Here is a 24,087-nt window from a genome sequence, read left to right as displayed (position 1 = left end):
AAAATTAGCCAGGCATAGTGGTGTACGCCTGTCATCCCAGCTACTCAGGAGGCTGAGGCAGGTGGATCACTTGATGTCAGGCGTTCGAAACCAGCCTGGCCAACATGGTGAAACCCCATCTCTACTAAAAATACAAAAATTAGCCAGGTGTGGTGGTACGTGCCTGTAATCCCAGCTACTCAAGAGGCTGAGACAGGAGAATTGCTTGAACCCAGGAGGCAGAGGTTGCAGTGAGCTGAGATCGCGCCACTATACCCCAGCCTGGGCAAAAGAGTGAGACCCTGCCTCAAATAAACAATCCCATTATGCTCTCCCTCAGACAGGTTCCCCCTCCTGTATCTCCTCTTCCAACTCATGCCAATGAGTTCCCTGTCACTGAAGCACAACTGAGTCGCCCTTGGCTCCTCTCTCCCCTCCACCCTTGCTGGTAGGTCCTGTCAACTCCACTTCTTCAGTCTCTCTCACTCCTGACCTCAAGTGATCCACTAGCCTTGGCCTCCCAAAGTACTGGGATTACAGGCCTGAGCCACCGCGTCTGGTCGCATAGTGGGTTTTTTAGGGCATGCCAAGTTTGAGGTCCCCTTCTGCTGTACTGAGTCACACCTTAGGGCCTTGACTCTAGACTACTCTCACCTCCTCAGTTGTCTACCCCTAAAGTATATCCTGCACACAGAGGTATCCAGTGGCAAATACATAACATCTGCTTGAAACACTCAAATAATTTCTCGTTGTCCAAAGGATAACGCCTAAACACCTTGATGCGTATTTGAGACCATTCTTCATCTATTCCTGTGTTATTCAGGCTTTTGTGTCACTATAGGGAAATACCTGGCCGGACGCGGTGGCTCACGCCTGTAATCCCAGCACTTTGGGAGGCCGAGGCGGGCGGATCACGAGGTCAGGAGATCGAGACCATCCTGGCTAACATGGTGAAACCCCATGAAACTCTACTAAAAATACAAAAAAATTAGCCGGGCGTGGTGTAGTCCCAGCTACTTGGGAGACTGAGGCAGGAGAATGGCGTGAACCCGGGAGGCAGAGCTTGCAGTAAGCGGAGATCATGCCACTGCACCCCAGCCTGGGCGACAGAGCGAGACTGTCTCCAAAAAAAAAAAAAAAAAAAAAAAAAAAAGAATACCTGAGACTGGGTAATGTACAAAGAAAAGAGGTTTAACTGGCACACTGTTCTGCAGGTTGTACAGGAAGCATGGTACCTGTACCTGCCTGGCTTCTCGGGAGGCCTCAGAATGCTTTCACTCGTGGCAGAAGGCAAAAAGGGAGCAGAAGCAGGCACTTCACATGGCACGAGGAGAGCTAGAGGGGAGAGGTCCCAGACCTTTGCACAACCTGACCTCGCATTAACTAAGCAAGAACTCACTTATCACCAAAGGGTTGGAGCTCAGCCATTCACGGGGGATCCTCCCCCATGATCCAGTCACCTCCTACCAGGCCCCAGCCCCCAGCGTTGGAAATCCCATTTCAACAGGAGACTTGGAGGGGACAAACATGCAAACTATATCAATGCCTGCATCATGAAACCCACAGATAGTCATGCTAGCCGCTGCTTTTTTTTTTCAGCCTCCCGAGTAGCTGGGATTACACATGTCCAGCACCACACCCGGCTGATTTTTCTGTATTTTCTGTAGAGACGGGGTTTCACTGTGTTGGCCAGGCTGGTTTCAAACTCCCGACCTCAGGTGATCCACCCGCCTCAGCCTCCCAAAGTGCTGGGATTACAGGCGTGAGCCACTGCGCCTGGCCTTCCACTGCTCTTTTTCATGTATCTGTGCTTTCACATATGCCAGTGGTTCTCAACTGGGGAAGATATTGCCCCACAGGAGACATTTAGCACTGTCCGCAGATATTTTAAACTGTCACAACTAGGATGGGTGGGGCATTGCTGCTGGCATCTAGTGGCAGAGGCCAGAGATGCAGCTAAACATTTGATGGTATGCAAGACAGTCCTCCCACAAAGAATGATCTGTAGCACACAGCATGACACAGGTTCTTAGAAGGTTATACTGCATTTATTATTACCATGATTGCTTTCATTCTATGGGCTGCAAGCATAAATGCTGACAGGGGGCAGAAAATTAAATGAATCAGAGAAGCAGGTTGGACAAAATCAACAGCAGACGCTGAGTCTGGAGCCAACATGCCCTTTCTAAAGCATTCAGATTCAAAACTCCACGACGCTGAGCACAGCCATGCAGCAGGTGGATGGGTCACAGCTTCTACGAGGCTCCCAAGCAAGGGTGGGGGACAGTTTGTTTCTGGTACTTATTTCATTGCAAGTATGGATCAATATTCATTGAAAAGTTCCCTCTTAAATCTCCTTTCAGAGCCCAGCATACTCCTAAGTTCTAGTAAGTAAATGGAAAAATAGGGCAAAACTCTCAACTTAGATCCTTAATATTCCCTCTTATATCTCCTTTCAGAGTCCAGCATACTCCTAAGTTCTGGTAAGTAAATGGAAACATAGGGCAAAACTCTCAACTCAGATCCTTGATAAAGTTTTCCTGTGCTTCTGAATTTTCTTTTCAAGGGTTCTTTTCTTGGCCCGGCATCGTGGCTCAGGCCTGTAATCCCAACACTTTGGGAAGTCGAGGTGGATCATCTGGGGTCAGGAGTTCAAGACCAGCTTGGCCAACATGGTGAAACCCCATCTCTACTAAAAATACAAAAATTAGCCAGGTGTGGTGGCACATGCCTGTAATCCCAGCTACTCAGGAGGCTGAGGCAGGAGAACCCCTTGAACCTGGGAGGCGGAGGTTGCAGTGAGCCAAGATCGAGCCATTGCACTCCAGCCTGGATGACAGAGCAAGACTCTGACTCAAAAAAAAAAAATTCTTTGTAATTTTTCTAATGACCTTAATCTAGTTTTTCCAAAAATACATTCTATATTTTGGGAAATGCTCTATGAAAGAAGGAGATGCTCTATGAAAGAATGCTCCTTAACTCTGTGGTCAAATGGGTTTGAGAAGTATTTACCAGCACCTTGAGAGGCCAAGGCAGGTGGATCACCTGAGGTCAGCAGAAGTGTTTACTAGCTATTCCTTTAACTGGTGTGACCAAATCTTACTTTATCAAATGGTTCCCACCCCATCTTTTTATAGTGAAATATTTTAATATTTAGGGAAGCAGTGCTTTGAAGACTTTGTGAAATACTCAAGCACTCTCCTTGGCTGTCTGATTTGCACTCCCCTTCAGCAGAGGGCCATCTCAGTTTAAACTTCCATTTGTGTGCAGAGAAGTCCCAGCTCATCCTAACTCAGTCCCCATCCCTCAGGCAGAGACCTGTTCTTTCCTCCTTACATATTCTCAGTGAGGGTAGGCATACTGAAATGGCCTGGTTTTCTTCAAGAAGGAGCCATCTTGGTGAAGATGGAGGAAGGCAATGAGTCACCCTGTGAAATGGGGGTATAGCTGGAGAGCAAGTGCATGTCGGTGTGGCCCAGTGACTTGGGTCCTAGACAAGGACACACATCTCTTAGGCCCATGGGTCACCTCTGGCTAGTTTATAGAATCAAGGTCCATTAATGACTATTAGGTCCATTGAAAAAGATAAGCATAGATCTTCTGGAGCTAGATGGAAAAGGGCCAGTCACTTCGGGCAAGGAGAGTCTAACTTCAAAGTAGCAGGAGGCCAGGTGCGGTGGATCATGCTTGTAATCCCAGCACTTTGGGAGGCTAAGGCAGGTGGACCACCTGAGCTCAGGAGTTTAAGACCAGCCTGGCCAACATGGTGAAACCCCGTCTCTACTAAAAAATACAAAAATTAGCTGGGTGTGGTAGCAGGCACCTGTAATCCCAGCTACTCGGGAGGCTGAAGCAGGAGAATCACTTGAGCCTGGGAGGCGAAGGCTGCAGTGAGCGAGATAGTGCCACTGCACTCCAGCCTGGGTGACAGAGTGAGACACTGTCTCAAACAAACAAACAAACAAAAAAACACCCAAAAAAGAAAGTAGCAGAAGGTTTTTATGACTACCAAACAATCAGACACATTCTACCAGAAAGAGCTGGACCAGCCCTGCCCTCACTTTTTTTCTCTCCCATGATGCAACATGGTACTATGTTTTATTATTTTACATTTAATTTTTTAAAATTTCTACTTTTGTTTTAGATCCAGGGGTATATATGCCGGTTGGTTACCTGGGTATATTGTATGATGCTGAGGTATAGAGTACAACTGATCCTGTCACCCAGGTACTAAGCATGGTACCCAATAGTTACGTTTTTCAACCCTGGGCCCTGACCCCCTCTAGTAGTCTCCAGCATCTATTGTTGCCATATTTATGTCTATGAATACCCAATGTTTAGCTCCCACTTGTGAGAATAATATGCGGTATTTAGTTTTCTGTTCCTGTGTTAATTTGCTTAGGATGATGGCCTCCAGCCGCGTCCATGTTGCTGCAAAAGACATGATTTCATTTTTTTTATGACTGTGTCGTATTTCATGGTGTATATATATATCACACTTTGTTTATCCAATCTAGCATTAATGGGCACATAGGTTCATTCCATGGCTTTGCCATTGTGACTAGTGCTGAGATGAACATACAAGTGCATGTGTCTTTTTGACAGGATGATTTGTTTTCTTTCAGGTATATACCTAGTATAGAATTGCTGGGTTGAATGGTAGTTCTGTTTTAAGTTCTTTGAGAAATCTCCAAACAGCTTTCCACAGTGGTCAAACTAACTTACATTCACACCAACAGTGTATAAGCATTCACTTTTCTCCAAAGCCTCCCCAGCGTCTGTTATTTTTTAGCTTTTAATTTTCTTTTTTTTTTTTTTTTTTTCAGATGCAGTTTCTACCTTGTTGCCCAGGCTGGAGTGCAGTGGTGCCATCTCGGCTCACTGCAACCCCTGCCTCCCGGGTCCAAGCAATTCTCCTGCCTCAGCCTCTGGAGTAGCCGGGAGTACAGGCTTGCACCACCACGCCTGGCTAATTTTGTATTTTTAGTAGAGATGGGGTTTTGCCATGTTGGCCGCTGGTCTCGAACTCCTGACCTCAGGTGATCCGCCCGCCTCAGCCTTCCAAAGTGCTGGGATTACAGGCGTGAGCCATCATGCCTGGCCTGGCTTTTAATTTTTTTTTTTTTTTAAGTGACAGGGTCTTGCTCCGTTGCCCAGGCTGGGGCACAGTGGCACAATCATAGCTCTCTTCAGCTTCAAACTCCTGGGCTCAAGGGATCCCCTGCCACAGCTTCCTAAGTAGCTGGATTATAGGAACATGCCACTATGCCTGGCTAATTTTTTTTACTTTCTGTCGAGACAGGGTCTTGCTATGCGTTTCCTAGGCTGGTCTTGAACTCTTGGCCTCAAATGATCCTCCCACCTCAGCCTCCAAAAAATGCTAGGATTATAGGCATGAGGCACTTGACTTCATAAATAACTGCCATTGGTGTGAGATGGTATCTCATGGTGGTTTTAATTTGCACTTTTCTGGTGATAAGCAATGTTGAGCATTTTTTCATGTTTGCTGGCCACTTGTATGTCTTCCCTGAGAAATGTCTTTTCCTGTCTTTGGCCCACTTTGTAAATGGGTTATCTTTTTTTTTTTTGCTTGTTGGCTAGTTTAAGTTTCTTATAGATTCTAGTATTAGACCTTTGTTGGAAACAGAGTTTGCAAATATTTTATCCCATTCCGTGGGTTGTCTGTTTACTCTGTGGATAATTTCTTTTGCTGTGCAAAAGCTCTTTACTTAGGTCTTACTTGTCAATTTTTGTTTTTGTTGTGTCTGCTTTTGAGGACTTAGCCATCAATTCTTTTCCAAGGCCGATGTCCAGAATGATGTTTCCTAGGTTTTCTTCTAGGATTCTTACTGTTTGAGGTCTTACATTTAAATCTTTAGTCCATGATGAGTTAATTTTTGAAGATGGTAAAAGGTAGGGGTCCAGTTTCATTCTTCTGCATATGGCTAACCAGATATCCCAGCACCATTTATTAAACAGACAGTCCTTTCCTCATTTTTTTTTTGTTAACTTTGTGGAAGATCAGACGGCTATAGATGTGTGGCTTTATTTCTGGGTTCTCTATTTTGTTCCATTGGTTTGTGTGCCTGTTTTCGTACCAGTACCGTGCTGTTTTAGTTATTATAGACTTATGTATAGTCTGAAGGCAGGTAATGTGATGCTTCTGACTTTGTTCTTTTTACTTAGGATGACTTTCCATGGCCTCACTTAAAGGCATTTGTGCCTCCTTAGCCCCTTAGGCCCTCCTGCCGGTCATTGCAGGACATAGATAACTGTTCAGTCCCAATTTTCCAGCCTGGCTTGTCAGTCCAATCAATCCTTTGAGTTAGGGGTAGTTTCTTTCTTCACAGAAATGGAGACAATTTTGGTTTTGGAAACTCAATCCAGCTCCACCAGGACTTGAACTTATTCCCAGGAATCCTGCCACAAACATGAAGACCCTCAGGCACAGGCTCCAAGTGTTGGTGACAACACACACTCTACTAGGCAGAAGGAATAAGGAATTTTCTGGGCCAATATCACCAGCCAATTTCAGCTCAAGAATTCTGTCTAATGCCTCAAGGCTCTGGGAGCTCTAAGAAATCAATTTTGCTAAGAATCCCTAAAGATATTTCTCTAAATCTTTGGGGTATGATCCTGCTGGTGTCCATGAGATTGGCTACGTCTCAAGACCAGAATCAGACAAATAATTAACAAGCGTCTCCTCTAAGCACATGCGCCACATAAACTTGCTGGGAAGATGAAGAGTATCCAGATGAAAAGATTCCCACCACTACGAGGCAACACACGCCAAACGTGAAGTGATGGATAAAGGCAGTGAGGACTCCAGCGTTTCCACAGGGACCTATCACCATGGGCTGGGGGAATCAGGAGCGATTTTTCAGAAGAAGTGCGTCTTCAGGAAAGCCTCAAAGCTGGTTTCTTACTCTTGACATTGGCCCAAGTTCCAAGCTTCTCCCCATCATGGACAAAAGGAAAGTGGGCTACTCCTCACAGTAGCTGTACCTGGAGACAATTACATTCTAGCACAGTCCACCTAATTGGCACCGCACAGCAGGGAGAACAAGCCAAATGGCAGGCTTGCGGAACAGGCATTCTGGGAAGGACGGCAGCCAAGTGGGTTTGGGTTCAGACTGCTGCCTATGCTACTTGGAGCATATTAACTGGACCAGCAGACCAAAGGCCCATCGCAATTCCACTAAGACTGTGGGGAGAGCTTGGAACTGTGGGGAGAGTTTGGAAGCTCCAACTCTTTGTATTTTATCTTTACTGCACTGAATTGTCATTGTCAGTGAAAGCACTGCCATTCATTTGGTTTTCAGAAACTCAAGGCGATGTGGCTGTTTCCTCCCTAATGACTCCCCTGAGTGTGGTGCATCTTAACGCCACCGAGTGTGGAGGTGCAGCCCAGGTGGGTCAGAAGCAGGAGACACGACTCTAGTGTTCTTCTCATTTGACAGGGGAATAAGCTTGAAGCTTGACTCTCACCAGTGTGCCGAAGTGGTCAAGGGCAGTCACTGATGTTGTGCTTGTCCAGGCACCTGTACAGAGTGTGCATTCAACAAATACCCCATGCCACTGTGACTTACTGCAAGTGTATTTTATTTTTATTTTTTTAACATTGTTAAAAACATTTATTCTGATACATTCTATCATAAGTTAGTACAAGTTCCACTCTGCTACAGGTTCATCTGTGAAGAGCCTTGTGCCATCCAACTAGTGACTGAATGATGTCCCATCTCTTATCCGAGCCAGAGCACACATCTTTCATGCTGTCCACTGATTGCCTCCAAATCCAGAAGACCAAATAATCCTTTATCCCCAAAGTAGGCTCAGAACAGTTGGTTCAGACATTCCAGGATCTGCACCCCTCTTAAATCCCAGGTAAATCACAAGAGGGATAAAGCCCAAGTGGATGGCAAACTGGCCCCCGTTGAAGAGCTGCTGCAGTCTCTGCTTGGCCTCTTTGCTCAGCTTCACCATGGCGATGGCCGTGTGGCACAGGGAGGACCCCTTACAGCAACCACCGCATCGGGAATCCGAAAGGGAGAAGTTATTTTTATTTTTACTTATCTATTTATTTATTGAGATGGAGTTTCACTCTTGTTGCCCAGGCTGGAGTGCAATGGCACGATCTCAGCTCACTGCAACCTCTGCCCCCTGAGTAGCTGGGATTACAGGTGCCCACCACCAAGCCTGGCTAATTTTTTGCATTTTTAGTATAGACGGGGGTTTCACCATGTTGGCCAGGCTGGTCTTGAACTCCTGACCTCAGGTGATCCACCTGCCTCGGCCTCCCAAAGTGCTGGGATTTCAGGCATGAGCCACCACGCCCGGCCTGCAAGCGCATTTTTGAAGGGCTAGTGAAGAGCTGGGCGTGGTGGCTCAGGGGCTATAATGCCAGCACTTTGCGAGGTCAAGGTGGGTGGATTGCTAGAGGTCAGGAGTTCAAGACCAGCCTGGCCAACATGGTAAAATCCCATGTCTAACTAAAAATACAAAAATCGGCTGGGCCTGGAGGTGCATGCCTACGGTCCCAGCTACTCAGGAGGCTGAGGCAGGAGAGTCACTTGAGCCCGGAGGGGGGGGCGGGGCAGAGGTTACAGCAAACCCAGATCAAGCCACTGCCCTCCAGCCTGGTAGACAGAGTAAGACTCCATCTCAAAAAACAAAACAAAACAAAAGGCTAGTGAAGCTTCTTTGAACTGGAAAGGTGTGTCTTTCAGAGTAGTTACCGTGGCTAATCAACCCCTTCCTTCCTTGTCTCCCTCTGCTCTTCCATAAGCTTAACAGTAGCAACGTTCAGTTCCCAGTGATGCTCAGTTTTAAAAATTTACTGCATTCAGGGTGTAATTTCCAGATCTCAAAATAATTCCTCTTAAAAACAAAACAAAAACAAAAAACAGACCCTTAAGCTTACTAAGTCTCCATTATGATAAAAAAAATATACATATAAGTCTTTCTTATTCAAGTGGGGAAGATTAAGAGCGTAGCCTGTGGAGGGAAGAAATCTATCAAAAACCACATTACGCTCAATGACATGTTTGGGCTCAGAGCTGTACTTTCAAGGTATTTCTCATCTTTACCATGAAGAATCCTCTCTTGGAATTACGTCCATTCTGTGGTAGTAGGAACTTGACTCACAAAACCACAGCTTTCCGAAACATTGGCAAGGAAGTTGGGTCATATATGGAAATTTCTTTCTATGAGCCTCTAAACAATCAGTTATTTGTTTCCCCTTTTTTTTCCCACAAGAAGAATTTTCTCTAAATAATTGGAGGAGATTTCCCATGGGAATCAGGCAATGGTGACTTCCAGGTCTTAAACTCTATCTAAAACAGTTTGAAAACAAAAGACACAAGAATGTGGCTGGCTGGCCTGTAACAATGCAAATTCTGGTAGTAACAACAACAGCCAAAGTGTGGAACTTCTAGTACTTCTAGTACCTCAGAGGAGGGCGGGCACTAGGGCAAAGCCTCTCTGGTTTGTATTTAACTAAGAAAGTGTAATCCTCCCAGCACTGACCAACTAAAGCTTAAATTTTCTATGACCTATGAAAAAAAGTTTGCAAAAAGCCTTCATAATCTAAGTAGCAAGAATATCAGACTCTGTAAGAAAAGATATTCGGCTCAAGAGCTTCAAAAAAAAAATTTTTTTTTTGAGATGGGGTCTCACTCTGTCACCCAGGTGGGAGTGCAGTGGCACAATCTTGGTTCACTGCAACTTCTGCCTCACAAGCTCAAGCGATCCTCCTGCCTCAGCCTCCTGAGTACCCGGGACCGCAGGGGCAGACCAGCACACCCAGCTAATTTTTTTTTTTGTATTTTTGGAAGAGACAGGGTTTCACTATGCTGCCTAGGCTGGTCTCGAACTCCTAAGCTCAAGTGATCCACTTGCCTTGGCCTCCCGAAGTGCTGGGATTACAGGCGTGAGCCACTGCACCCGGCCTTAAGAGCTTCAAGTTTTTTTTTACCTGTACAACCATTTGAGCATAGTTCACACATGAATTTCAGCGTGCCCACAGAAGGCTAAATGCTTCATAGAGCACTGTACATTAATGGCAGAGAATATTGAGGATTTTAAATCACAGATGGAGGAGAGTTGGGATTCAAATTCCCAACCAAATCAGATCTGCCTGATAACAAATCCTATGTTCTTTCTTCTCTGGCACCAGGCTTTGACCATGTCCCGTTTGTCACAGAGGATCTAAGTGAGTCCTCCATGAAACCTCTTAAGGGGGACAGAATGTTTTGTGAAAAGACAGTGAGCACACAGATGTTTACAGCAGCTTCATTCATAATTGCCAAAACTTGGAAATGACCAAGATGTCCTTGAGTAAGTGACTAGATAAACCGCGGCACACGCAGACAACGGAGTATTACATGACACTGAAAAGAAATGAGCTACTAAGGAACGAAGACATGAAGGAAACTTAAAGGCATGTTACTAAGTGAAAGCAGCCAATCTGAAGGGGCCATCTGTGGTATGATTCCAACTATATGACATTCTGGAAACGGCAAAATTATGGAGACAGTAAGAAGATCCCTGGGTGCCAAGTGTTGGAGGGAAAAAGGGAAAAATGGGCACAGAGGATTTTTAGGGCAGTGAAACTTCTCTGTATGATAATGATGGATACATGTCATTATACATTTGGTGTGTCATTATACACACCACCACGCCTGGTTCGTTTAAAAAAAAAATTGTTTTTTAGAGACAGGTTTTACTATATTTCCCAGGCTGGTCTCAAATTCCTGGCCTCAAGTGATCTTCCTGTCTCAGTCTTCCCTATAGCCCAGATTACAGGTGTAAGCCAGAGTGCCTGGACTTTTTTTTTTTTTTTTTTAAATATATAACACCAAGAGCGAACCCTAATGTACACTGTGGACATTGGGTGATTATAAGATGTCAATGGAGGTTCATCAATTTTAACAAATGCACCACCCCAGTGGGGGGGGGGGGCGTTGATCATGGGGGAGGCTGTACATGTGTGGGAAAAGGAGATATATAGGAAATCTCTATCTTTCGCTCAGAAAAAATTATTTATTTATTTATTTTTATTTATTTTTGAAACCGGGTCTCACTCTGTTACCAAGGCTGGAGTGCAGTGGCGCGCTCATAGCCCACTATAGCCTCAACTTCCTGGGATCCAGCAATTCTCCCACCTTAGCCCCCCGAGTAGCTGGGATTATAGGTGCGTGCCACTATGCCTGGCTAACTTTTGTATTTCTGGTAGAGACGTGGTTTTGTCACGTTGCCCAGGCTGGTCTCGAACTACTGAGCTCAAGAAGGCCACTTTAGCCTCCCAAAACCCCTGGCCAGAAAAAACTTAAAAGGCTAGGTCTTGCTCTGTCACCCAGGCCAGAATGCAGTGGCACAGTCATAGCTCACTGCAGCCTCAAAGACCTTGGCTCAAGCAGTCCTCCTGCCTCATCCTCCCAGGCAGCCGAAACTACAGGCACACACCACCACGCCTGGTTCATAAAAAAAAAAATTGTTTTTTAGAGACAGGTTTTACTATATTTCCCAGGTGGCTGGTCTCAAACTCCTGGCCTCAAGTGATCTTCCTGTCTCATTCTCCCCGATAACCCGGATTACAGGTGTGAGCCACTGTGCCTGGCCTTTTTTTTTTTCCTTTTTTTTTTCTTTATCAATTTTGCTTTGAACTTAAAACTGCTCTAAAAAAATTAAGTCTTAAGAGAGAGACGGCCGGGCGCTGTGGCTCACACCTGAATCCCAGCACTCTGGGTTGCCGAGGCAGGCAGATCACCTGAGGTCAGGAGTTTGAGACCAGCCTGGCCAACATGGTGAAACCCTGTCTCTACCAAAAATACAAAAATTAGCTGGGCGTGGTGGCGTGTGCCTGTAATCCTAGCTACTAGGGAGGCTGAGGCAGGAGAATCGCTTGAACCTGGGAGACAGAGGGTGCAGTGAGCCAAGATCGTACCGCCGCACTCTAGCCTAGGCGAGACTCCGTCTCAAAAAAAAAAAAAAGACAAGACAATGAGCTTCAGTTAAACAACTATGGGGCTAAACTTAGCATTCCTGCTCACTAGCCATATGAATAATAACTGAATCTTTCAATGCCTCAGTTTCCTCATATGAAAATGTGCAATGTAGCTGCAGAGGTTTTGCTAAAATCAAGAGACAGTGCTTTAGATCATCTCAGTGCCGGCCACAGTGGGCATTTGTCAAGCTGTGGTTACAGCGACTCTCCAGTAAAACCTACTCACTCCTCCACCAGTTTCTTCACATTTCAATCTTTCTGCTGTTTTGGCTTATTTACATCACTAACCAAATTATACATAGCTTGTCCTGGTGTAATTGAAAGTGACAAAGGGGAAAGTGGGAAATGAAAACAGAGAGCTCAGTGCACAGCCGTGGTGAAAGACTCAGAAGTCAGCACTCAGCGGTTCCCAAAGGGGCTGCCAGCTCCAATCAGGCCACTAGTTACTTGACAAGAGCAGGAAGCCAGGAACCACATGCCACCCAGGATTCCCCTGGAAAAGCTACACAAAACACCCACTCTTGGAGTAGCACAGAAAAGCCTCCTGGTCATCTTGCTGGCTAAGTGCCGGTGCCATCAATGAGATCTTGGGGGTCCACTCAGGAGGGAACTGCACTTCCCTCCTCAGGAGCACTGTAACCTTCATCTTTTTTATTTTCCAAATTATTTCCTGGCTAGGGATGAGCCAAGTCTAATGGAAGATAAAAGAATTGTAATGATTAAGGCTACCCTAAAAATCAAAAGAGAAGCTTAAACTAGCATGATTAACCATACTACTTAAAAAGAAAGGTTATCCCTGAGACAGTCAGAACACCAGGTGTCTTTTTCTGTCCTTTCCATTTGCTGACTATAATAAACCTCAAAGGAGAATTCTGAAATGCCCAAAATGATGCCCATGAATGATTTCCAGATGGTTCTTTCTCTATCTTCACTTTTCAATCCCAGGAACTCTGTTCACCCTAGTTGGTTCTGTGTCATATGTAAGGAATTGACATTTCCAATGGAACATGCCAGTGACCTTTCACCCAGCTCAGTGCCTTTCCTTTCCCCAAGGGACTCCTCTTCAGTCTTGATATGGTTTGGATTTGTGTCCCCGCCCAAATCTTATGTAAATTTTAATCCCCATTGTTGGAGGAGGGACCTGGTGGGAGGTGACAGGATCATGGGGGTGGATCTCCCCCTTGCTCTTCTCATGATAGTGAGTTCTCATGAAATCTGGTTGTTTAAAAGTGTGAGGCACCTCTCCCCTTGCTCTCTGGCTCCTGTTCCGGCCATTTAAGATGTGCCTGCTTCCCCTTCACCTTCTGCCATGACTGTAAGTGTCCTGAGGCCTCCCCAGAAGCAGAAGCCTGGCCGGGCACGGTGGCTCACCTGAGGTCACGAGTTTGAGACCAGCCTGGCCAACTTGGTGAAACTCCATCTCTACTAAAAATACAAAATTAGCTGGGTGTAGGGGCACACGCCTGTAGTCCCATCTACTCAGGAGGCTGAGACAGAATTGATTGAACCTGGGAGGCAGAGGCTGCAGTGAGCCGAGATCGCGCCATTGCACTCCAGCCTGGGCGACAGAGCGAAGACTCTGTCTCTAAAAAATAAAAATAAAAAAACCAGAAGCCTGTACAGCCTGCAGAACTGTGGGCCAATTAAACCTCTTTTCTTTATAAATTACCCAGCTTCAGGTATGTCTTTAGAGTAGTGTGAGAACAGACTAATACAAGTCTCACAGGCACCTCTACTCTGAGCTCTTGGGAAATCCTTCCAGAATTTCTTTATTTCTATACATCCTTCAATGGAAAGGGATATTTAATGTTTATTTTTGAGAAAGGGTCTCACTCTGTCACCCAAGCTGGAGTGCAGTGGTGTGAACATGGCTCACTGCAGCCTCAACCTCCTGGGCTCAAGTGATGCTCCTGCCTCAGCCTCCTCAGTAGCTGGGACTGCAGGCACCCATGGCAGGGTAAGTTCTGTATTTTTTGTAGCAACAGGGTTTTGCCATGTTGCCCAGGCTGGCCTCAAGCAATCCTCCCACCTTGGCCTCCCAAAGTGCTGGGATTATAGACGTGAGCCACTGCACCCATCCAGATCTCACTTTTTATTTCCTTCTTAACTCTCCTTGGCCACAAGTTTACAATATTCTCTGACAAGTGTCAGATGCAATAATCGTCCCAATCCTGTGGCTCCCAAGGGTTTTCTGGATCCAGTGCAAACTCCTGAATGTGGCCACTAAACACTTCAACTGGCTCACCCTGTTTTCCTTGCCAGCTCCATCTGGTTTCCTCCATCTTGTGTGGCAAGATACTGTGTCCCCACCCTTGTTTAAGAGGTAGTGCCTGTCCCTCATCAACCTCCTTCCACTCATGCCAGCCTAAGTTCCCCACATTTGCACATGGTTTTATGGAGTTTATAAACAGTTTCACACAAACTGGGCCTGTCATGATGACAGTTAGCACAGGGCTCTCACTAAAACCAGAAGGATGCTGGTAGGAGGCTCACACTCACTCAAGTGAACTGTCCCATCAAGCCTGTAAGCCCCCTCCCTTCCCCAGGCATCTGGACACTAATTTTTACCTCTAGCTAGATGAAATGCCCTTGCCCAGGAACAGCTATGCAAGGAGGTTTTGTACTGGCTCTATGCAGAGCACAAGGCCTCCAAAGAGAATCAGGAACACCCAGGGATCCATGAAGAAAACAGCTGAACACGTGCAACGTCACAGTCTTGCAAAAGTGACACTCGAGCCAGGGCAAGCCCAATCTAAAAATAGATGCACCTGAATTGGGACATCAGAAGGTGCCAGAAGGCATAAGAACACCACACCTAACTCACCTGGCCTCACTTGCTGGGCTGGGACAGCCAGCGCTCCGGGTATGAGGCAACAAAAAGATGAACAGGCACTGTCATTCAACCCTTGCTCAAGGGCAATCGGGGACCCAGTGGGAGTAGAACCAGGCCTCTACACCTGACTGTGGGTACGCAAGGGCACCCTCCCCTGGAGGGGTTGAGCCTGCTCTACGCAATGCAACTGAAGTAGGGAAGGCAACCCTTGGATACAGCCAACTGTCTCTGAATGACACCGAGGGAGATGAGCCTGCTCCGGGCAGGGCAACCAAAGCCACCAACACAGACACCAATGCCTTCTTCCAGGATGGACTAATGATGAAGGCTTTTTATTTTGTAAACACAGTGTTCTGCAGCTAGAAAATGTCTGGGAGAAAAAACAAGATGGAAAAATAAATTCCAGCGTTAAAAACAAAACAAAACAAACAAAAAACAGTTGTTTACCCTCTACAGATTCAGTCTTTAGACTTTATGAGCACCTACAATCATCAGGAACACATATGGGGCCCCTATCCAACATTCTCTCTCCCACTGTCCCCCCAACACACATATAAGCTGACACTTGGAGTCCCTGCCAAGCCAATCTCCAATAAATTCTTAAAAACAAAAGGCTCCCAATAAAAGATTTCGGAACAAAGCTCCGCTCTGTAGGTACACTGTAAAAAGGAAGTTTTTCCCCATGGACAGAATGAAATCAAGACTGGGCTCAGATAGAAAGGCCAAGTGGATATTAACCTGTCTACATACTACTGGTCCTTTCATCTGTTTTTCAAAAACAGACCTGAAAAGAGTAATATTTGTCTCTACGAAGAGTTAAGTGTTTGAAAAAAAAATTAACACATACACACAAATCAGAATTCCCTTCTCTCACATCCTGGGCCCTGGGTCTTTGAAACTCTCTGGCCTGTATATAGAGCAAATGGTAAGCTTGCCCGCCTTCAGGGTGTTTTCTCCCAAACCCAGAAATGCCCTTCTCCTGGGGACACAGCAGGGCTTTCCTGGAGAGTTTGCCTGCTTCTAGGCTGAAATGTCTGGACGCAAGACAAAGATGGTTCTTTCAGTCAAGAGCCCAGAGGACAAGTAGCAAGGAATAGAGGAGACTCCTGGCCTCAGGGTTTGCTGTCTCTGTGGAGAACAGCCCCTAGCACAGAAGGTCCATAACTGGTTAACTGAGGAATGAGCAGAATCTGGGGGCCACGAGGCTGAATCTGATAGGAAGGGCCAAGTGTAGATGCCACGGGCTCATCATTTTTTTGCCTGGATGTCACAGCGGCAATCTAATAACGTGGGGATTTCAAGTGAGGGATGCTTCTCCAATTGGAAAGTAGGCATCAGGAGGGTAGGTGGCATCTGGTCCCAGTATTCCTTTGCAGCATTGCACAGTTCTGGAAACACCCAACATACTCTGTTTAGAAAGTAACGGTATCCAATGAAGACCCCCTACAGCTTCTAAAAGAAATAGGAATTCAACTCCAAAACTTTGCCTCTCTCACAGGGACAACTAGGTACACGTTTTCACCACTTCAGGCTTTCCCCACCCCCTACATTTTGCTGAACTTAACCTCTGTATACACTAGTCCCCGCCAGGCTCACTGTAAATATTTCATGCTACCTCCACTCCTGTATGAGCACATGTCAGAATTACTGCGGCTGCTAAGCCTGAATTTAGGTTTGCTTCACCAGCTTTCTATGTCAATTCTGTGTTAAGAAGTGGTCCTATACACAGCATAGCCTCAATTTCAATAGAACACCACCTGGAACAAAAACAGTCTTTGTCACTGAATTATTGTCTCCGTTTCATCATCTAAGAAAATGGCACTAGCAATGGCACCAGATTTCATTGGAGTACCCTTTCTCACATTGACATCTGTCCTCTGAAAGTTTCAAAGTTGTCCTCTGAGACATGTTCTATCTACTCCTAAATTTTTCCTTTTCAAAATGAGATCCCTGTGTTAGGATCAGAATCTTTTTTTTCTGTTTTTGAGATGGAGTCTCACTCTGTCACCCAGGCTGGAGTGCAGTGGTGCAATCTCGGCTCACTGCAACCTCCGCCTCCTGGGTTCAAGCAATTCTCTGCCTCAGCCTCCCGAGTAGCTGAGATTAAGGTGCCCACCACCATGCCTGGCTGATTTTTGTATTTTTAGTAGAGACGGGGTTTCACTGTCTTGGCCAGGCTGGTCTTGAACTCCTGACCTCGTGATCCACCCGCCTCAGCCCCCCAAAGTATTGGGATTACGGGCGTGAGCCACCGCGCCCGGCCAGGATCAGAATCTTGAGTATGACTTACTGGAATGACAATGCAATAAACTTTATTTAGTCATTTTAATTTTGAAAAAACCTCCAAGTTTTAATGTTTTGGAGCCGTGTAGGCATGTGCCACTTGAGCAGAGAATTTCATTAGCTGTTTAATTCTGGGATCACATGGCACTGGAAAAGTTCATTGGGGCACACTGTAGTTGGGTTGGTAGCCACTGAAGAGTTACAGACACTGACATTCCTGTCACCCAGAGGCAGGGAGTGACATCTGGCTCTAGCTTTTAGCAGTAGAGAGTGTGTGCTGGGGGTAGGGGAGAGGTTGGAGAATGACACAGTTAAAATGCAAATGTTCCTCCGCTTGCTGCTAAATGAACCTGAAGGAAAATTAATACATAAATTGCAAGCCTCTGGCAAAATCAAGACTTCAAGATTACCAGAAAAATGCAAACTAAAATCCTTCACGACTCTACTTCTAATATTGTGTAAGCTCTAAACCCCGGCCATAGTGAACAATGGTGTTAAAGAAACAGATTTGGTTTTTCCCCCTTCAACTTTGACCTGCTTATTCACCTGATGATTTCAACTATCCATGCGATTACCACACTAAGAAAGACAGAAACCCACACTGGCAGCAAGAGCCATGACGAACAGCCCCACCCAGTAGGTTCATGGCTTCTAGAAATGCCCAGAAGTTAACATTATAATAGTATGAATCAGACACTGCATCCAGAGTTTGTACATTTCATATAGTAACTCTTAGGGTCTTAGCCTTCGTATTTTTCAATTGTACAAACTAGATAATTAATCAGAGATATGAATTCAATTTGCCTGAAGTCCTCAGTAATGCAGACCATGGGCTAAATCTTAGCTTTGTGTTTCTTTCCCTTTGATACTATTCTTTTTTTTTTTTTCCCCAAGGAAGTTTCACTCTGTCGTCCAGGCTGGAGTGCAGGGGCATGATCTCAGCTCACTGCAACCTCTACCTCCCAGGTTCAAGCAATTGTTGTGCCTCAGCCTCCTGAGTGGCTGGGACTACAGGCATGTGCCACCACGCCCAGGGTTTTGCCATATTGGCCAGGCTGGTCTTGAACTCCTGACCTCAAGCAATCCACCCGCCTCAGCCTTCCAAAGTGCTGGGATTACAAGCATGAGCCACCACATCTGGCCTGATACTATTCTTCTAATCAACAGTATTTTCTTCAAGTCTCCTTTATTTTCAGATCTTGGGCCTACATGTGATGCTTTTCTCAAAGGCAACTGAAAACCTGTACCCTAAAAGAAGGATGCAATGTTTTTCATATAAAAAAAGACGCTAAACTTTTGTTCACTGGGTACATTTGTTATCCTTGCACTCAGCATGTGGGACCCAGCAGATGAAAGCCCGAACTTCAGAGAGAAACGTGGGAATGGAAGGTTATGTTCCTCACCCTATGAACTCCAAATAGTATACCAGACTTCAGAAGAAAGCCTTCCTCCACTAAAACAAAACATAATTTCAGAAAGTACCATCATGCTAGAGAGACACCTCCATGGAGTGGGTTTCCTTTGAGTGGTTGAGCTGTTTTTTCATTTTGGACCCTCACGTTAGTCCCACTGTTAGCCATATCGGCTACAGGAGGAGAAACAGAACAAGGCGAACCTTCTCTAGCGTGTCAATTGCGGGGTTTGGTTACACTTAGACAAGCACAGAAATGTCAATCAATTCAGTCTGTATCCACCAAAGCACTAGAGAATGAGGCACAAATGGGACACCCATCTGCTATGGTCTGAATCTTTGTGTTCCTCCAAAATTGGAGGAACCCCCTTGGGGGTTAGGATTTTAGCATACAAATTTTGGGAGGCCCATCTCAGCCTCCAAGGTATGATATTAGGAGGTGGGGCCTTTGGGAAGCGATAAGGTCATGAAAGAGGAGCGCTCATGAGTGGGATTAGTGTCCTTATGAAAGATACCCTAGAGAACTGCCTGGCCTCTTCCACCATATGAAGACCCAGCAAGAAGGCACCGTCTATGAACCAGAAAGCAGACCCTCACCAGACACTGAATCAGCTAATACCTGGATCTTGGACTTCCCAGCCTCTAGACTATGGGAAATAAGTTTGTTACTTATAAGCCGTCTCATTTATGGTATTTGTTATAGTAGACCAAATGGACTAAGACACTGTCTGGTCTTTTGTGTAGTAGAGCCAAGGCTGGGGCTGGGGCTGGGGCCGGGGCCAGGGTGGATTAAGTACGGCAGACACTGTAGACTGATTCACTCAATCCCCATTTAGCAGAAAATGTGAAACAACCATACCCCATTGCAGCCAGAGTTGCAGGCGTGTGAGCTTATTTCTACCAATCAGAAGCATCCCAGTATAACCTGGATGCAGTGTGAGTGACAGAGGCGGCAAGGGTCACCCATTGTGATCCAGGCCTTCTGAGGAGCATGGCAGAAGAGAAGCGCAGTCCTGGCATTCATCCCCTCAGCTCCTGGGGACTCAGCAGCCAGCGGAGGCAGCATGATTTTTCTGCTAGAACAGACTCATGGTATGGTTTGGCTCTTTTCCTGGCTCCATCACATCCAAGCCTGATTCTTGGTTCTTCCCAGAACTTCTGTGAACCACCTAACCAACAACCGTTAACACATCCCTTTCTGCTTAAACTAGCTACAGGAATTTCTGTTGTTTGCAGCCAGAAGTCCTGCCAGACTCGGCAAGAAAACAGAGAAACGAAAGGAAGCGGGAAGGACTGTAGGAGTCAGCTGACAGGGGCGATGCAGTGGCCACGTGCTCCAAGTCAGGGGCTTCTGAACCCAGTTCTGTATGCCCAGTGAAGCCACATGGTGGCATCCACAGAACAGAAGCTTTAGCGATGGCTCCACAAAGGGTGAGTCTCAACTCTACTGCCCCAGGCTCTGTATTGTGCTGGACAAGTTTCTCATATTATCTGAGCCTGAATTGATTCATCTACAAAACTAGAACAATGCTACTTTCCTTATAGAGTTTCAGAGAAAATAGGTAATATGTCAACAGCCTAGTACAGTGCCTAGTGACCAGCAGTTGTTTCAGAAATAGTGTAACTATCCCATCAAATCATCACAAATTGATTTGGCTTACATACCATACATGTCAAAATATAAGGTTATATTTTCTCTTCTCTAACATTATTATAAAAGAGGAAGTTGTTACATATTTGAGTCTGTACAAATTATATTATGAACCTCTTTCAATTATATTAATTTGGATGACAAATTACTATTGGGAGAAGACACAATTATCTCATATCAATGGGAATTTTAGATGCTTAAACAGAACTGGTTTAAAATAAAGGGGGGAAATCAATTTAATATTAAATTTAAAAATTATGCCTAGGGGAGATAATCTCACCATTTTAAGTGCTATATTTTCTTGTAGCAGAGTAGCATGGCGGTTAAAAGCAGGAACTGGCTGGGCGTGGTGGCTCATGCCTGTAATCCCGGCACTTTGGGAGCCTGAGGCAGATGGATAGCTTGAGGTCAGGAGTTCGAGACCAGCCTGGCCAACATGGTGAAACCCTGTCTCTACTAAAAATACAAAAAAAAAAAGGCTGGGTGTGGTAGCTCATGCTTGTAATCCCAACACTTTGGGAGGCCGAGGTGGGTGAATCACGAGGTCAGGAGTCCGAGACTAGCCTGGCCAACATGGTGAAACCCCATCTCTACTAAAAATACAAAAAAATTAGTTTGGGGTAGTGGTGAGTGCCTGTAATCCCAGTTACTCAGGAGGCTGAGGCAAGAGAATCGCTTGAACCCAGGAGGCGGAATTTGCGCAACTGCACTCCAGCCCAGTTGACAGAGTGAGACTCTGTCTCAAAAAAAAAAAAAAGAAAGGAAAAGAAAAAATAAAAATTAGCCAGGCATGGTGGTGGGGCATCTGTAATCCCAGATGCTTGGGAGGCTGAGTCATGAGAATCGCTTGAACCTAGGAGGCAGAGGTTGCAGTGAGGCCAGGTCACACCATTGTACTCCAGCCTGGGCGACAGAGCAAGACTAAGTCTCCAAAAAAAAAAAAAAAAAAATGCAGGAACTCTGGAGCTCCACAGCTGGGTTTGAATCTTGACTCTGCCTTTCATGAACTATGTGACTTTGAGCGCATAGGTAAGTTATTTGACCTTTCTGAACCTTAGTTCCCTGAATAAAGTGAGATAAGGTATCAATCTCACAGATTTCTCTGCATAAACGAGTTAATACATGTAAGGCACCGATGACAGTATTTGGCACGTAGTAAACGCATCCATAAACGTAAGCTATTTTCAATTATAGGATGAAGGGATGAAGGTATGGAGGAACTGTGGCAGGGTTATATGAATACTTGTGGTCTTGGATAAAATGTCCAGTGACAGCACCGTACATGAATATAAATATTACAGTCTTTCAAATAATAAAGATGGAACGCAATACACCCTTAAAACTGACTCAGCTGACTCAAAATTTGGCTCTGATTATTTGAATAAATTTGCTTCATAAACTATATGAGTGGGAAAAGGAATATTCAAAATTAATGTCATTTAAATTTTAAATGTGATTTTAATTATATATGTGAATATTAGAGCTATACATGACTATTTCATGTATATCACTGTATTATTAGTAGTAAACTGAATTGTTATCCTTTTAGTATACTAAATATAGTATTTCGTGTATATTAATGTTGGCCAAAAACCTTTTTGTAGCTCTTGTTTATTATGTATGGGGTTTATATTCTACTGTATGCGGTAAAAGAAAATGTTCTTCTCTTTTTTTAATCAGCGTAGAAAATTCAAACTGTTATCAAAAAGCATCTTAACCACATGTCCCTGCTCCCCAAATTAATGCCCTTATGATCTCTTTTGCTTAGATTTGTTGAGTTTAAATGCATTTTATTTTTAGACAAACTACATGACGTGCTTTTCTTAAAACAATGCCTCCATTCCAAATAAAGCATGGTCGAAATAAATGAAGAGCTCAAGATGACATCATTCCCATTTTCTTAAGTCCTGTTGTTGTGTGGATGACAAGCTGCAGTCAGTTACGATGACAGGTGATACATCCAAAGCAACTGCCAAATTTGTTAACATTTTCCCATTTCTAAATCATCCTCAAAGAAAATCACATATGGAGTCACACCATCCTTCCAGTAGTCCAGTAAAGCAACCATGCCACCTGGATTCATGGTTTCCCCAATACAGAAAGAACTGGTAGCTTTTTGTTTGTTTTGAGACAGAGTCTTGCTCTGTTACCCAGGCTGGAGTGCAGTAATCTCAGCTCATTGCAGCCTCCGCCTCCCGGGTTCAGCAATTCTCCCACCTCAGCCTCCCAAGTAGCTGGGATTACAGGTGTGCACCAACCACAGCCAGCTAATTTTCTGTATTTTTGGTAGGGACAGGGTCTCACTATGTTGCCAAGGCTGGTCTCAAACTCCTGAGCTCAAGTGATCCTCCCGCCTCAGCCTCCCAAAGTGCTGGGATTATAGGCGTGAGCCACCACGCCCGGCCAGAACTGGTCGTTTTTGAAATTACTAAGGATGTGCTTGACATGATTGCAAGGGGCTCTGCAGCCCCTGTCATAAAAGGTTTTACTCTTTCTGGTCTCTGTTCTTCAAGTTTGTCTTTGATATCACGTAACCTTTGATGTATTTCTTGTAGGCTTCTCTGGTGAAGCTAGTTTCCTGAAAGTGATGGTTCATGACAGTATCAACACCAGCCATTACTGTGCTTTCCGTGCCCTCGCCCTCGGGGCCTTCAGCGGAGGCATTTCCACCAATGAGCGAGTCATCAGTGTTACCCTCTCTCCTACAGACCATCTTCGCCTCCACTTCCACGCACAGCCAGTCTGAGATCTCCCGGATCTCGTGAACACACCTGATCATGGCTGACAAGGTCCCAGTAGATAATCATGATGGCGGCCGATGGCAGCTAAAGGGAGACGACCAGTGGCGCTGCCTTCTAGGAGCCCGGAGCTTGGAGCTGCGCTCATGGGGAGCGGGGGCGGGGCCTTGCTTAAATTTCAAACAAAAAAAGGATCAAACCAAAAATAAAAGAAAATAGAGGGAAATGTAGACTATCTTTGTGCATTTTAAATATACATAAAATCTCCAACATGGATAAAGATGTTATTCGATTCTATTTACTACCTGATCCTTTTCTTTCTTTTTTTTTTTTTTTTTTTTTTTTTTGAGACGGAGCCTGGCTCTGTCACCCAGGCTAGAGTGCAATGGCAGGATCTCGGCTCACTGAAGCCTCCGCCTCCCGGGTTCAAGCAATTCTCCTGCCTCGGCCTCCTGAGTAGCTGGGATTACAGGCATCCACCACCATGCCTGGCTAATTTTTGTATTTTTAGTAAAGACGGGGTTTCACCATATTGGCCAGGCTGGTCTCGAACTCCTGACTTCGTAATCTGCCCGCCTCAGCCTCCCACAGTGCTGGGATTACAGGCATAAGCCACCGGGCCCAGCCACCTGATCCTTTTCTTATGCCTTCATTTAATTGGGAGATCCTTTTCTTATGCCTTCACGTAACTGGGAGTGGGGGGTGGGGATTAAGGAATAAAATCCAACTAAAATAGCAAGACTTTCTTCATAAGGCATGAAACATTAAACATATAAAATATTGTATTTCACAGTGTCCTCTCTCATCTGTATTTCATGGGAAATAGATGGATGAATTCAGCCTGATAATCCACTACATGTAGCTATTAGTGGGTCTCTTGAAGGAAAGGCACAATAACCCAGATGGGTGTATTAACCAGAGCTTTTATGTCATTTATGACTAATACTATGAACTGTGTCCCCTCTCAAAATACACATGTTAGAGCCCTAATCCCCAATGTGATAAGGGCTTCGGGAGGTAATTAGGTTTCAGTGAGGTCAAGGAAGGGACCCCATGAAGGGATTAGTACCCTTATAAGAAGAGATGCCAGACAGCTTGCTTCCTTGCTTTCCCTGCCATGTGAAGACACAGTGAGAAGACAGCCATCTACAACCCAGGAAGAGAGCCCTCACCAGAAACCAACCATGC

The 24,087-nt window shown here is 45.3% G+C and overlaps 2 protein-coding genes and 1 pseudogene across 7 annotated transcripts in view, besides 1 other annotated feature; all 3 read right to left on the bottom strand.

Annotated features, from left to right (window-relative positions):
• PDZD2 (PDZ domain containing 2) overlaps window positions 1-24,087 on the bottom strand; it is a 471,802-nt gene that overhangs the window by 179,604 nt on the left and 268,111 nt on the right. The gene's annotated exons all lie outside the window — the stretch shown is intronic.
• LOC107986346 (mitochondrial import receptor subunit TOM7 homolog) lies at window positions 7,590-8,032 on the bottom strand. The gene has a single exon (XM_047417968.1). The coding sequence runs from the start codon at window positions 7,960-7,962 to the stop codon at window positions 7,795-7,797; it is 168 nt and encodes a 55-aa protein (XP_047273924.1). The 5' UTR covers window positions 7,963-8,032; the 3' UTR covers window positions 7,590-7,794.
• Window positions 7,875-8,374: an enhancer, noted in NCBI's record as "H3K4me1 hESC enhancer chr5:31923061-31923560 (GRCh37/hg19 assembly coordinates)". NCBI's record gives its function as "activates a minimal SCP1, AML or CMV promoter by ChIP-STARR-seq in primed H9 embryonic stem cells {active_cell/tissue: H9 hESC(primed)}" and the evidence as "EXISTENCE:reporter gene assay evidence [ECO:0000049][PMID:30033119]".
• Window positions 22,146-22,968, bottom strand: TPT1P5 (TPT1 pseudogene 5; annotated as a pseudogene).

Source organism: Homo sapiens, chromosome 5, assembly GCF_000001405.40.
Source record: "Homo sapiens chromosome 5, GRCh38.p14 Primary Assembly".
NCBI classification, from domain to species: domain Eukaryota; kingdom Metazoa; phylum Chordata; class Mammalia; order Primates; family Hominidae; genus Homo; species Homo sapiens.
Note: the sequence above shows the minus strand (reverse complement) of the source record. Positions and strands in the feature narration are given on the sequence as shown.